General features: G+C 37.7%; 1 protein-coding gene across 2 annotated transcripts; it reads left to right on the top strand.

Moving 5' to 3' along the window:
• The first annotated feature begins 4,895 nt into the window (after positions 1 to 4,895).
• EBLN1 (endogenous Bornavirus like nucleoprotein 1) lies at positions 4,896 to 14,436 on the top strand. 2 transcript variants are annotated; one of them, NM_001394757.1, is made up of 3 exons: positions 4,896 to 4,995; positions 9,946 to 10,069; positions 12,884 to 14,436. In NM_001394757.1, the coding sequence occupies exon 3, from the start codon at positions 12,928 to 12,930 to the stop codon at positions 14,026 to 14,028; it is 1,101 nt and encodes a 366-aa protein (NP_001381686.1). In that variant the 5' UTR covers positions 4,896 to 4,995; positions 9,946 to 10,069; positions 12,884 to 12,927; the 3' UTR covers positions 14,029 to 14,436. The 2 variants fall into 2 exon arrangements, with proteins under 2 accessions (NP_001381686.1, NP_001186867.1); NM_001199938.2 differs by lacking the exons at positions 4,896 to 4,995; positions 9,946 to 10,069 and having other exon boundaries at positions 12,628 to 14,436.
• The last annotated feature ends 389 nt before the right edge of the window (positions 14,437 to 14,825 follow it).

Below are 14,825 nucleotides of genomic sequence, written 5' to 3'. Positions count from 1 at the left end.
ACCATGGGAAAGCAGCAGGCGATTCCTCAAAAAATTAAAAATAGAATTATCACATGATTCAGTAATTCCACTTTTGAGCATACACCCAAAGGAATTGAAGACAGAATCTTGAAAAGATATTTGTACACTCATGTTCATAGCAGCATTATTCACAATACCCACAAGGTAGAAGCAACCCAGGTGTCCACAGAAACTTGGTAAATGATGAATGAATAAACAAAATGTGATAAACACACACACACACACAATGGAACATTATTCAGCCTTAATAGGAGGGAAATTCTGACAATGCTACAACATGGAGGAATCTTGAAGATGTTATGCTTACGTGAAATATATCACTCACAAAAGACAAATTGATGATTTGTATGACTTGTATAATTCTGCTTGTATCAGGTACACAGAATAGTTAAATTCGTAGAGATAGAAAGTAGAATGGTGGTTGCCAGTGGCTGGGGGAAGGGAGAAATAGAGAGTTGTTTTTAAATGAGTGTAAGGTTTCAGTTTTGTATTATCAAAAGAGTTCCAGAGACTGGTTGTACAACAGCATGAATGTACTAATTCTACTGAACTCTACACTTAAAAATGGCTAAGATGTACATTTTGTTGTATGTATATTTTATCACAATTAAAAATGAAAATATGAATTATTTTGAGGGGATTTTCCCCCTTATATAACACAGTGTGATATTGAAGCAAGGATAGATAAGCAGACCAATGGAAACAATTCAGAACCCAGAAACAGATTTAAGCACATTTAATTAAAAAGAAAGTTGAAGGCCAGGCCCAGTGGCTCACACCTGTAGTTCCAGCACTTTGGGAGGCCAAGGCGGGAGGATCAGTTGACGCCAGGAGTTCAAGACTGGCCTGGGCAACATAGACCCTGTCTCTACGATTAAAAAAAAAAAAAAAAAAAAAAGAAAGAAAGAAAAGAAAAGTAAAAGTGAGCCCTCAAGGAAGAGAAGCACAACTCCTGACTCCTTAAGTGACTTCCTTCCAAAGAGTTCAGTATGGAAAGGAGAAAAGAGTAACTTTAAGTGAAGAAATCTGACAAGTACTACCTCAGCCAGGTGATCAAGATCAACATCAACAGTGATAAGTCATGTTGATGGTATGTACCCTTGACAGGATGTAGCTCTTCACCTCTGTGGTCTTCCTTCCAAAAATTTATATTCCCACTCTATTCACAATGAAAACGTCACACAAATTTCAATAGAGGGTCATCCCACAAAGGGGTACCAAACCAAATCCTGATTCCTTTATATTTCCCCTAAATTTTGCTTTAAAACTGTACATTTCTCTTGTTTTTCTATTCTACTCCTCATGTACTTTTCATAGGCAGCTAAAAACAAAACAAAGCAAAATAAAAACAATTAGTACTTTCAACAGTGTGCCTATAAATATCCTCAGCCAGAACTATCAGTTCCTTATGTACGTTTTCTGTTTTCCGCGTTCCTGCAGATGACAGTTTCACCACTGTCTTCGTGGGGTTTGTACCTCCTGTTAATAAATTATAATATGTCCCCTTTCCTTCAGACTCCAATAGCTATTTCGTTACTGTCTTTTAAGCCTTCAGTAATGGGCTCTTTAAGGACTTCCATCTCCTGCTTACCACCTGGTCCCAAGGTAAGGCTGCAAGTTTTTCTTAAGGCAGACACCATTTCCAAATACCAAGTTCTGTCTTATTATCTGTTGTTGCATAATAAACCACTATAAAACTCAGTGAGTAAAAACAACAACCATTTTTTATCATATGTCTTGGTTTTTAAAATTTTTCAAATTTTTTATTATTTGGTTTGAGATCGGGTCTTGCTTTGTCGCCCAGGCTGGAGAGCAGTGGCACGATCATAATTCACTGCAGCCTTAACCTCCTGAGGTCAAGCGATCTTCCCACCTCAGCCTCCTAAGTAGCTGAGACCACAGGTGTGTGCCACCATGCCCAGCTATTTTTTAAATTTTTTGTAGAGTCGAGGACTCCCTACGTTGCCCAAGCTGGTGTTGAACCCAGGACTGCATTTATTACCTGGCTTGTGGAATGTGCCCACTCTAACTATGGCAAATGGGGATGTGATGACGCTTTGGATCCTTTAGTATCAATGTGAATTCAAACCCTTGAAAAGTCAGGAATTCCTATTCCCCCAGTTCACCCACACAAATGGCTATATGTCCCTTTGGAAAAAGGACTGGGGGAATCTATCATATGTACTTGCTGTGGGTGATAGAATTCTTCCTGGGACCTGGTCTATCCTTCAGTTAACGAGTTCCTAGCCGGAGTAGTGGCTCGGATCCAGAAATGAGGCAGAATATGGTCATTTTTATTGGGTTGATTGGTCTCAATCTCCTGAAGATCCGTGGTTGATTTCTTTTCTTTTCTTTTCTTTGCCAGGCTGAAGTTCAGTGGCGTGCATCGTCATGGCTCGTGGCAGTCTCAAACTCCTGGGCTCAAGTGATCTTCCTACCTCAGCCTCCCAAGTAGCTTGGAGTACAGATGCATGCCACCATGCCTGGATAATTTTTAAATTTTCTATAGGGATGCGGGGGGTCTTACTACATTTCCTGGGCTGATCTTGAAACAATCCTCCTGCCTCGGCCTCCCAAAGTGTTGGGATTACAGGTGCGAGCCACCCCTCTTGGCCTCGATTTATCCTGATTGTATAATTTGAGTAATATGCTTATTGGCTGCTCATCCAAGATGTCCCTACAGATGCTATGTTCCATTAACCAGCTTCACATCTCTGTGAGTCAGACACCTCTCCCTCTTTCAATCCAAACTTGCCAGCCATTAGAATAATAGCCCACAATCTGCCCTTATCACTGCAGGACACTATCATCCCCATTGTTATCAGGGAGCCCAGTTCTGTACTAGTATCACCAATATCAGCCCAAGGCCACAGGGGACAGCCACACTGACCTTCACAGAGATGCTGGTGCCCCTCATCCCGATGACTTTATTGCTTTATTAAACAGTGTCCTCTGGCCCCTCCCACAGTCTGTCATTGGTGAGTGGGTTTTCTGGCACTCAACAGGGTATATTCACTCTAGAACATTTTCCTAACCTTTTGATCCTTTATTTTCCTGTCTGCCATGGAAGTTCCAGCACTTTCTCTCACATAATGTGGCCATGTTTTCTACAAGCTTCTAAGATCTTGTAGTGTGTTGTCACCAACTCCTAGGTTGCTTGTCAGGGTTAAATCCTGTTTCACAGGACAATGCTCTGTCTTGATTGACCCTCCTTTATCCAGCCTTATCTTCTACTCACTTTGATCCAACACCAAATATCCTGTCTTGGTTTGTGATGGTATATGTCAGCTCAGTCCTACATCTCCTTTTGAGAGCATCAACTCTTCCCTCTTTCAGCAGGCTGGCTCATGTTATGACTCAACCCTACTCATTTATCTGATGGCTCAAACAGGAGGTAGAAGTGGATCTGAAAGGAATGCCTGTGGCCTTGCAAGGCAGATGACTGCATCATCTTCAAGTGAGCGAGCAGTGCTGGTCTTTAACAGGATGAAGTGGGCCACTTCTATAGGCCCAGAGTCTGGGAGAATGTGGGAATTCAGGATGCCACCATGCCATGCCTTAAGGTCAACTTCTTCCCAACAAGGCCCTCTCCTCATTCAACCTCTTCCGAAGCTCTGTTACTCTTATTGTTGAGGCTCGGGCTTGATTCTTAGCCTCTTTTGGTGTTGGCTCATAGAAGATGAGAATCTCTTTATATGGTGTGGAAGAGGCTGTCTGACTTTGCTGCTTGCCTTTAATTGGTGATTAATTAACCTCAGCCTTTTGTTGTCTTCCTCTAGGGCATCCACTGTTGTCAGCAGCAGCCAATTCCCTAATCCTTGTAATTACCACTTTCTCTAGCTCTCAAAATCCTGATACTGCACCTGCCAGTGCATTCCCTTTTACTGGTATCCAACGCCAGCTCACACCGGGAATGTTTTAATACTTGCACCACTGTCTCATGCCAGAGGTATCCATGCTCCATCTATCCCCAGTGATGGGTCTTCAGTACCTGCCTGCCAGTGGGTGATCTGGCTGTGCCTGCGGTCTCATTTTAAAGCCACTTTCCTAGGATCACTTCCAGCACTAGCTGCTGCAGGTCAGATGCCCGGAGACTCTGAGATTTGCATGTACAGTTTATTGAAGAGTGCTCTCAGAAACAACTCCTTTGAGGAAGCCAGGGAGAAAATAGTACTGAGCAGAGGAAAAAGCCAAACTGAAATGCAGCTGCATCAGTAGCCTCAGCTGGCTCCAGGGGGAGCATTGAGGCTGAAAGAGCATTCAGAGATGTACCAATCCAAGGCACCAGGGCTGGGTCTTTGAATCGCTGCATTGAATTCAGTCATTGGATTGTGGGCTACCCTTGAAGAAGAGACATAAATGTATTGAGGCAACTTCCTTTAACCAAGGTCAATTCCAGAAAATGGATTCAGCTGTGAGCCATCAACAGCCAATAATTACTCCCAGCAACAGCCTTGAACCTGAAGGGGGACTGGGTGAGGGGCCATAGTATCCATGGCACAAGTCTCCTAGGAGTGGTTTCTTTTCTTATTATTTTTCCTTTTATATGTATTATTTCTTCCTGTCTTTTTAGGTCATTGTTGTTGTTTTTTTCTTTTTTGTTACACATTTGCTTTGTATACTTTAATTTTTTAAAAAACAGCAAAGTCATTAAGATTTATATTTAAACGACAGAGATTTTGCTATGCAGTTACATGGTTTGGCTGTGTCCACCTAAATCTCACCTTGAATTGTAATCCCAACTGTTGAGGCAGGGACTGGTAGGAGGTGATTGGATCATGGGGGTGGATTTCCCTCATGCAGTTCTCGTGATGGTGAGTGAGTTCTCACGAGATCTGACGGTTTAAAAGCATCTGGCAGTTCCCCTCGTCCTTGCTCTTTCTCTAGGTCCTGCTGCCCTGTGAGGAAGGTGCTTGCTTCTCCTCCTTCAGCCATGCTTGTAGTTTCCTGAGGCCTTCCCAGCCATGCAGAACTGTGAGTCAATTAAACCTCCTTTCCTTATAAATTACTCAGTCTCGGGTAGTATATTTACAGCAGTGTGAGAACGGACTAATACACCTAGTTACTCCTCTTTACATTATTTTCTAAATAGTCTGTATTTGTTGCTTGCTTTTTGACTTAGAAGTTATTTAGGAGAGACTTAATATTTAACCTTTTTCAAGTGGTTGTTTTTTCCAAAGTTAATTTTACGAATTTATGGTTATATCATGGTGTAGTCAGAGAATGTAGCCAACGTAGTATCTGCTTTTGTCATTTATTACAGTTTTCTGTTTTCCATTAAGTTTTGTTTCCATTTTTCTTGCGTATACCAAGGAAGATAAAAAATAACAATGCAGTTGAATCTGACAAACACATTGGTGTGTAATGAAATGTATGGTGTGCAGGATATACAGAAAAAGCAGAGGATATGTTTTTTCCTCTTTGTCTTTCTTTATATTACCAAAGTTCTTGGCACATAAGAAATGAATATGAGAACAGTATGAAAGTGAAGCAGTTCTCTTTATTCCTTTGTGCCTTCTCATACTGATCAGGGAAAAGAAACCAGGATGATAAGTTTTTGCACTGGTGAAACCCTATCTCTACTAAAAATAGAAAAATTAGCTGGGCGTGGTGGCACGCACCTATAATCTCAGATACTCAGGAGGCTGAGGCAGGAGAATCACTTGAACCCAGGAGGCGAAGGTTGCAGTGAGTCAAGATTGCACCACTGCACTGCAGCCTGAACAACAGAGCGAGACTCCGTCTCAAAACAAAAAAATATATATATACACATACATATATATATAAATAATTTCTGAGTATGTATTTATTGCTTTAAAAATCAAGCAACAGAATTGTTATTGTAATAAGCGTGAGAGGGTTTCCCAGGCAACATTGGATTCTGATTGGCTGAGTCAAGGTAAAATGATGCAGCGCACAAGTTTTGTGTTTTAGACTTGAAGCTCAAGTGTACTTACTTAGTTTTTGATCTCGATAAAATAGTCTTAAGGAAAATCATAAAAAATTTTGATTATGTGGATTTTGGCAAAACAGAGATGGAGTGCACATAGGGCAAGAAGTACTCGTGATTCTTGATTAAACTTCCAGTGTTTTGAAAATCAAGTTAAAATTTCTGAAGATTTATACTCCGTTTAATTGTATTAGCACAATTTATAAATTATTGCAACTTTTCACTAAAATCCTGTCCTTCCTCAGTCTTCATTGTATATGTCTAACCTATATTTTTAGAAGAGTTTTATGTGCCAAACTACCAATGATGAGAATTATATATTTCAAACAAATATTCTAAGTTTTTGAAATAAAACCACAAATAAATTACCTATTGTACATAGAATGTTGCCATCTAGATATTTTTCCAGAAGAGTAGAAAGTATTCTCATTTTGATGCAAGTAGCTTGTTTTCCTTAAAGAGGTTGTTGCCCTGTTTGAGTCTATTGGTGATAATTCAAAGTAGGTTATATATTATCTTTAGTTTTAAAAGATTTAACAAATCTAGATTGAAACAGTTTGAAGACTAAATGTTTACTGTAAATATAGTTGTAGAATAAAGAGTGAAGGAAAAATACATCACATATATGGATTGAGGGGTATGTTATCACTAATTTGTTTTTGTTTTTGTTTTTGTTTTGCAATGTGTTTGTACATGCCAGATGAGGTGTCCCTAAATTGGGTTTCACCGAATGACTTTTATTGGGGTAAAAAAAAAAATCATAGAAGCACAGTCACCTGCAGATAAAATATTGAAACACTGAGTCTGAAACTCTTCTCTGAATATCTGGTACTCATTATGGTATAAACCACACATCGTATAGTGCTTTACATTGTTGTTACTGTTTAATTTTTCTTAGATGTTATGAAAAATTTAAGTGTAGTTTGTTAAAGATAATTTGAAAATATAAAAAAGAAGAAAATAGTTAAACATAGTTCTAACAGTATTATGCATACAATTTTGTACTGTCATTTTCTCTTGATATCTTGTAATAATTTTCCCATATTAATATGTAATATATTTTTCCCTGCTGTGTAATATTTCATCCAGTACATATACCACAGCACACTTAACTATTCCACTATCACCAAACATTTAAGATGTTTCATTTCTTCATGGTCATACATAATGCTGAAATGAGGGTCTTTGTATATAAATATTTTTTTCTTTCATATTTAGGAAAAATTTCTTGTGTAGTGTTTTTATAAGCTACACCACTGAGGCAGAGTATTACTACATTTAAAGTTCTTGATATCTGTTGCTAAACTGCCTTCAAAAAAGGTGGTGTCAATTTGCACTTTCAATGGCTGTATATGAGAATGTCTGTTTTGCCATACTTCTAGCAGCAGTGAGAATTGTCAAAACTATTTTCTAGTTATTTTGAGAAAAATATTAATACTATCTCCTTATTGCTTTAATTTGTATTTCTTTGGTTATTAGCAATGCTGATAATTTCCTCAAGTTTGTTAACTTGCTTTCTTCTGTGATTTGGCTGGGCATACTTTAAAAAGCATCTTATAATAAAGCTATTTATAATGTACAGTGATATCATATAGATAGTATTGTGATAATATATTACACATTGTGTATTGATATAACTCACACACCATACCATTCACCCGTTTAAAGCAAACAGTTGAGTGACTTTTGAGTATATTCATAGGGTTGTGCAACCATCACCACAATTAATTTTACAACATTTTCATCACTCCAACAAGGAATCATGTACCTATTATCAGTCACTCCTTATTTACCCCCAAACCCCTTTACAGACCTAGGCATACACTAATCTCTACTTTCTGTCTCTATATGTCTACTTATTCTGGATATTTTATGTAAATGGAATCGCACAACATATGATCTTTTGTGACTGCATTCTTTCACATAGCGTAAGTTTTCAAGAGGCAACCATGTTGTAGCTTGAGATAGTGCCTTCTTCTTGATTGTCTAATAACATTTTGTTGTACAGATATAACTCATTTTATTTATCAGTTTATCAGTTGATGGATATTGGAGTTGTTTCTACTTTTTGACTGTTATAAATAATGCTTCTATGAACATTTATGTACAGGTTTTGGGGTGGACACATATTTTCATTTGTCTTGGGCCTAAACCTAGGAGTGCAGTTGGTGGGTCCTACGGTAACTCCACGCTGAGTATTTTGAGGAATTGCCAGAGTGTTCATACCTCCTTTTATGCATGTTAATCTATTGGTGTCTTGGTGCTGTTCTTAAAGATTTGTATGAGGTTTTTATATAAGGTCAGTGTTAACCTTGTATACTTGCAGAAAGTATTTTAATCCCCATATATCGCTTGCCTTTAATTTAGGTAATGAGTTTTGTGTGCAAATATTTTTCAGTTCTACATTGTCAGTTCTGTCAATATTTTATTTTCTCTTGTTTCATTGTTACTAAGCTTTTTAAAAAACCATTCCTTGGCTGGGCAAGGTGATGCATGCCTGTAGTCCCAGCTACTCAGGAGGCTGAGGAAGAAGGATTGCTTGAGCCCAGGAGGTTGCAGCAGCGGTGAACCATGATGGTGTCACTACACTGCAGCCTGGGTGACAGAGTGAGTCCTTGTCTCAAAAAAAAAAAAAAAGAAAGTAAAACAAAAAATCAAAAATCAAAAAACTATTCCTCTGTGGAGTTTGAATCACATTAATGTATATTTTCTTGTAATTTTTCTATAATTTAATCTTTTAAAATATTTCATTCCTTTATTTAGGTTATTTGGGTGGATGGTATAAGACTAACAGCAAAATGGATTTTTACTTCCAATTATCTAACCAGTTGTACCATTACCATTTTTCTTAACACTTCCTCTCTTCCCTGCTGAATTTGTCTTGATATTGCCTCTTTTATTGATTATTAATTTTTTTTTACATGTTCTGATGTCTGTTTTGGTCAGCATGCCTATTCCTGCACCAGGACCACATTGTTTAAATTATTGAAGGTTTAGAATATGTTTTGTACCCAGGAAAACAGCCATACTTCCTTCAACCCAGCACCTCATATTTAATTAATCATCTTTTTCAAACATTTCTTAGTGACTCTCATTTTTTTCCAAATGTTTTCCAGGTTTTTCCAAAGTTTTGTTATGTTTTCTAAATACTGTTGGAATATTCATTGTGCTTGCATGAAATGCTCAATTAAACTTCAAGAGACTTGACATTTTAATAGCAGTAAATTTTGTCATCCAGGAACCTGGTATATCTCCCTGGTTATAGTTTTTCGAAAAAGCTCAGCCAAGTGTTGTACTCATTTTATGCAAATCACATATGGTTTACTCCCCACTGGAGCAGATCCAGGTTCTGAGGGGCCTAAAGCTTATATGATTTTTGGGGGTTTTCTTCAAGAAAATGAATACAAAACTACAAATACAAAATTAGGTACCTAATCTTGGAAGGAGCCTGGGTGAGTAGTGGGCTCTGGAGCTGCCTTTATTTTCTAGGCAGTTGGCTTCTTTTCACAGGTATGTCTTTGTTGATCTTGTTATTATATATTTGTAATATATTATCTTGTGTTCCTACAGGAATTAAAGAATCTATGAACTAAACTTAGAAAATACTTCGAAAAAATCTGTTTTCTACTTTTCCATTTTTGAATTTCTATACAAATAATCAAACTATATGTGACTAGCAATAACTTTATATCATCTTCTGTAATATTTTTCTACATCTTAAACTTGTTGAGAAAAAGATCCATATACTGAAGGTCTTTAATAAATGTTTTTAGTGATGACTGATAAGCTAAACAAAGGAGTGTATTTACTGAGGCCATAGCTAGATGAATTTGCTACTCACCGTTTCATGCTTCAGATGCAACATAATTTTGTCCATAATGCAGAGTGTAGGCTACAGACCTGTATGTATAGACTAACACACTTTACATCATAGACTGGGTTTTTAATACAACCTTTTTTTTTTTTTCTTTTAGAGACAGGATCTCACTCTGTTGGCCAGGCTGGAGTGCAGTGGTATGATCATAGCTCACTGCACCTCTGAGCTCCTGGAGTCAAGCAATCCTCCTACCTCAGCCTCCAAAGTAGCTAGGACTGCAGGTACGTGCCACCATGCCCAGCTAATTTAAAAAAAAAAACACAACTTTTTTTTTTTTAAGAGATGGTGTCCTGCTGTATTGCCCAGGCTGGTCTCGAACTCCTGGACTGAAGGGATCCTCCCACCTTAGCTTCCTGAAGCACTTAAGATTACAGGCACGAGACACCACATCCAACCTTACTATAATTTTAATGCTCTAAACTCAGAGTATGTGTATAAAGACTTCTCAACAGTTTTCATTCTAGAAATTATTCAAGAAACTATGTATTTGACCTGGTTTCTTGGATCAAAAATAGCCAAAATGAGAAGAAAAGCTTCCTAATGAAATAGTCCTGAACATAAGTTAATAACTAGGTTTAAAGAGTCTCACTAGGGACTTATTCTATTTACAAAACAAATAAAAAATATTGAAAAGGTTATTTAGTATATGTATCCTACTGCTACGGCATTTTATAAGATAAGGGATCAAATTTTCATAGGCCATTTGAAAATTGCATATTTTAGAAATTTCAGAAGATACATCATTTATCATTTCTGTTTTACTCTAATGTTTTTGAATTCTAATATAGAGATTGTAGGACAACAGAAAAATGGACAGTTCAAGTTATTAATTAAATTAACTGTCATCTTTGTAGTTGATACATATTTTGGAAAACTCACAAAATCCTATAGTACCCACAGCATCCCACCAAGTGCTTTAGAGATATGCAGTACATTGTGGTTTATGGCACTGAGAACACCAACCCTAGCCCCTAATTATCCAAATAATCAAGAATACGGGGAAGTTTTTAGTTAAGACCTTTGGTTTTAGTAACCGAAGATACCTATTCACAATAAAGAATGCTCAGATAATTGTGATTATAACTGCTAGTTAAGTTTAGTTGCATGATTAACTAAATGTTTGAGACATGGGATTAAGAAGGGACATGGTAAAACACAAGCAGCTTTAAGTGACTTAATTAGCACGCCAAACAGATGGAGGGAAAAGCTCACATGCTCACCTTAAACTGTTTTCAGGCCAGGTGCAGTGGCTCACACCTGTAATCCCAGCACTTGGGGAGGCTGTGGCGGAGGGGTGGGGTAGCGTGGGGTAGCGTGGGATGAGGCCAGATTACTTGAGGTCAGGAGTTCGAGACCATCCTGGGCAAAGTGACGAAACTCTATCTCTACAAAAAACAAACAAAAATTAGATGGCATACTGGCAAGTACCTGTAGTCTCAGCTACTTTGTGGGTTGGGGCAGGAGGATCACTTGAACAGGGAGGTCGAGGCTGCTGTGAGTTGAGATTGCGCCACTGCACTCCAGCCTGGGTGATAAAGTGAGACCCTGTCTCAAAAAAAAAATTGTTTTTTGTTAACACGATTTAATACCTATTAGATTTTGTCTTTGTGTAAACATAAGGAAATAACAAAAATGCTATAATTTATATGTGCTTTCAGAATTGGGAACCACAGAAAAATCCATGAAGTTTTAGGATGTTTTTAAGTGTGTGGAGATTTTGAACATTTCTTTTCATAAATCTCACCTTTTTCTACCTCCAAATGGACTTTCGGGGAATAAAAATGGATTATTGTGAATTAATGCAAAGAAAAATATTTATTGAGATGCACAACTTACCACCCAAATCAAAAGCCTATATTTGGAACAAGACAGTTAAGAACATGACAAAACATAATAACCTTTCATTGCATTAAGAGACGAGAAAAGAAAGGAATGAATGACCATGTAATGTTATATCCCTTCCATTGGAGAACTTTTGCATGGAATATTGTGATTAGCATGGTGATTGCGTCAGCTTTAAGCTTTTATCACTGTCTAGGTTTTAAAGCAGGGCATGCAATATTATATCTTAAAAGCTCTTTAATTTTTAAAAACCCCAGAGAGCCTTTAAGTGAGACTTAATTAAAATTCAAATCAACCTTAGATGTATGTCCAAGACAGTTTTCAAAAGACCTGTACAACCTGTGTTCCTTTGATTCCATTCCCTTTCCAGTGTTATCTCCAGTTGCTCTGGGCAGCACCCACTTGGCCAGCGAGTTTGGAAACCTGAGGGCATTCTGGGGTTGACACAATGATTTGATATAGGGTATCACTGACACTTAGAGGAGGGGACCAGGTTTGCCTGATGGCCCCAAAACTTGATTTGGTTCTGCACAATGAAATATGTTCCTGCCCTGCTAGTTTCAAAAGATGCCCTGAGCAATATCCTAGACAAATATGGCAGTAGTACTTTTAATACAGATCTAAGTCAGCAGCCCTTCTGTGTGAAGGCATACTGAAAAGTTTTAAAAGAAGCTACACAAAAAGGCTCCTTATTTAGGGAAAAATTCCTTATGTCGAGGAAAGCTTAAACGACATAAAGATATTGCGTAAGAATTGTCAGACAACTAACTCTTTCTGTGGATCCTGGCTTTGTTAGAAGTTTTGTTTTGTTCATTATAGGGGGTTTTATTGGCATTACTTCGATGTTTTAAAAGATGACATTACAATATTACTGATCTTGATGATTGAGTTTAAATTTAAGGAAACCTTAAATTTTGTGCTCGAAATGAGTGGTTGACTCTTCTCTCTATAGGCATAGCTCTGGTGTTCACAGTTGACAGGGGAAAGGATTTTAGTGCAGCTGCACATTTAGGTGTAGAAGCATGAAAATCAAAATTATGTTGTGTAATTAAGGAGATTTGGAAATTCCTTTACTAGACTAAAAAACTGAATATTACTAAGAAGTAAATGAGATACAGAAGTCATAATACATTTTATTAATAAATGTAATTTAAAAATATTTTGTTGTATTGCCATTCTCTATATTTTTTTAGTACAGTACAAAATTGTGTGAAAATCACAGAAACAATCACCCACAATGTCCCGCCCAAGAAACAACCCACAGACCAGCAGCCCACAAGACAGTACAAAGGATGGGAGCAGCTTCCATTACTTTCAAGGGAGATTTGAGCTCTCTGGGAAGAGCAGACAGTATCCAGCAGATGCATTGGAGCCCCAACCTGGTATTGGAGATGTTAAGGTCATTGAAAAAGCAACTAAGTCTATGCTAGACCCAGCACAGAGATCTCATTTTTACCTTGTAACCCCAAGCTTAGTATTTTTGTGTTTTATATTCGATGGATTACACAAGGCACTACTCAGTGTCGGTGTGAGCAAAAGGTCTAATATTGTGATTGGGAATGAGAACAAGGAAACAGGTACTCTCTATGCTAGCAAATTTGAAGATGTTTTGCCTACCTTCACTGCCCTTGAGATGTCATCAATTCTGCGTCACTGCTGTGATCTGATAGGCATTGCTGCCGGATCGAGTGACCCGATATGCACCAACAGCCTCCAAGTACAGAGACAATTCAAGGCAATGATGATATCCATTGGAAGACCTTTGCATAGTGAAAGTGCTGATTTATTAATTAGCTATAATGCAGGGCCAGCTATAGATTGGATCAACTCAAGACCATGGGTTGGAGGATTAATGTTCACATTTCTATTTGGAGAATTTGAATCCCCTGCGTGCGAGCTACTTGATCAAGTTAAAGTAGTTGCCAGCAAAGCACAGATGATGACCTACTACACTGTGAGAATGTTCCTGGATCAGTGTGTGGATGGTTCCACTGCTTTACCCGCTGTTGTGTTGGAGATTCCAGTTTTTGAGCAGAAGAAACCACTGGCTAAAAAGGTACTTGGAGATTTCTTTGAATTTGGGGGTGTACTTCGCCACCCTGTTATTGGGGTGCTATCACCACAAATGTTCCCAAACCTAGCAACAGCAGCAAACTACTGGGCCAAAAGAAGGAATTCCACATTTTCTGGATTTGAAGCCCTTGACATTATACCAGGATCAACTATTACATTCCCTGTACTTCAAATGGCATCTGCTCAGAAAATCTCCAGAGGAAGTGACATGGATCCATATACACTTAACATCCTTCGCGGTTATGGGATTTCGGGATTTGAATAACAAATACGTGAACTAATCCTTATATATACATATAAAAAGAAATTATGTGAAAATCACATTCTAAAATAGTATCTGAGTGTTGCCTATTGTTTTCAATCTTGGTCTGTCTCTGACATCTATCGCAACTTCTCTATAATCTTTTATTCTTTAAAAGAGTCCATCCAATATTCTCTGGCCACTGAAAGATGTGATCTCCAAAGTCTTTTTAAGTACTGGAGGCCAAAAATATGCTTTGACATGTAGAATTTTGAAATAATTGAAATGTTTTCTGTAGTCACGTGGGGAGTTTTTATTTTATTCTTCATAGATAAGGCCCAGATCATTTTTAAGGTTATTGTATTTCTTCTCTAATTTGTCTTGATTATTTTTTATAATTATGTTGAAATAAATCTGATGCATTATCACTTATCCTAGCACTATTTTTTGTTATGGTTCTAGTGTCCTCCTGTACCTCTGTTCATTTCAGGAGATCTCTTTTATGGAATGACTTATTTTTTCTTAAATCAAAATGTAATCATTAAGTCGATGCAAGGATCTGGCTATTTTAATGGATCTTGTAGTGTAGTCATATCTGAGCATTTACATATTGAAATACATGTTATGAATTATTTTCCTTTTAGTTCTCTGTTAAACTATTGAGATGCTATTTTCATTTCTAAAACATTGTTTATGTAGTTAGATTATATCACCCAGGAATTTCATTCCCAAATATGTGATGGATTACGTTTCCAAAGGTGGCTATAGCAATATCTCCCATTCCACATTTATTTTCTTTCTGTAGACGAAGCCGGGCGTGC

The sequence above is a fragment of the Homo sapiens genome, chromosome 10 (genome assembly GCF_000001405.40).
Source record: "Homo sapiens chromosome 10, GRCh38.p14 Primary Assembly".
NCBI classification, from domain to species: Eukaryota; Metazoa; Chordata; class Mammalia; order Primates; family Hominidae; genus Homo; species Homo sapiens.
Note: the sequence above shows the minus strand (reverse complement) of the source record. Positions and strands in the feature narration are given on the sequence as shown.

Excerpts from the sequence above, each read along its gene's own strand:
- EBLN1 (NM_001394757.1), top strand. The coding sequence starts at position 12,928 with ATGTCCCGCCCAAGAAACAACCCACAGACCAGCAGCCCACAAGACAGT.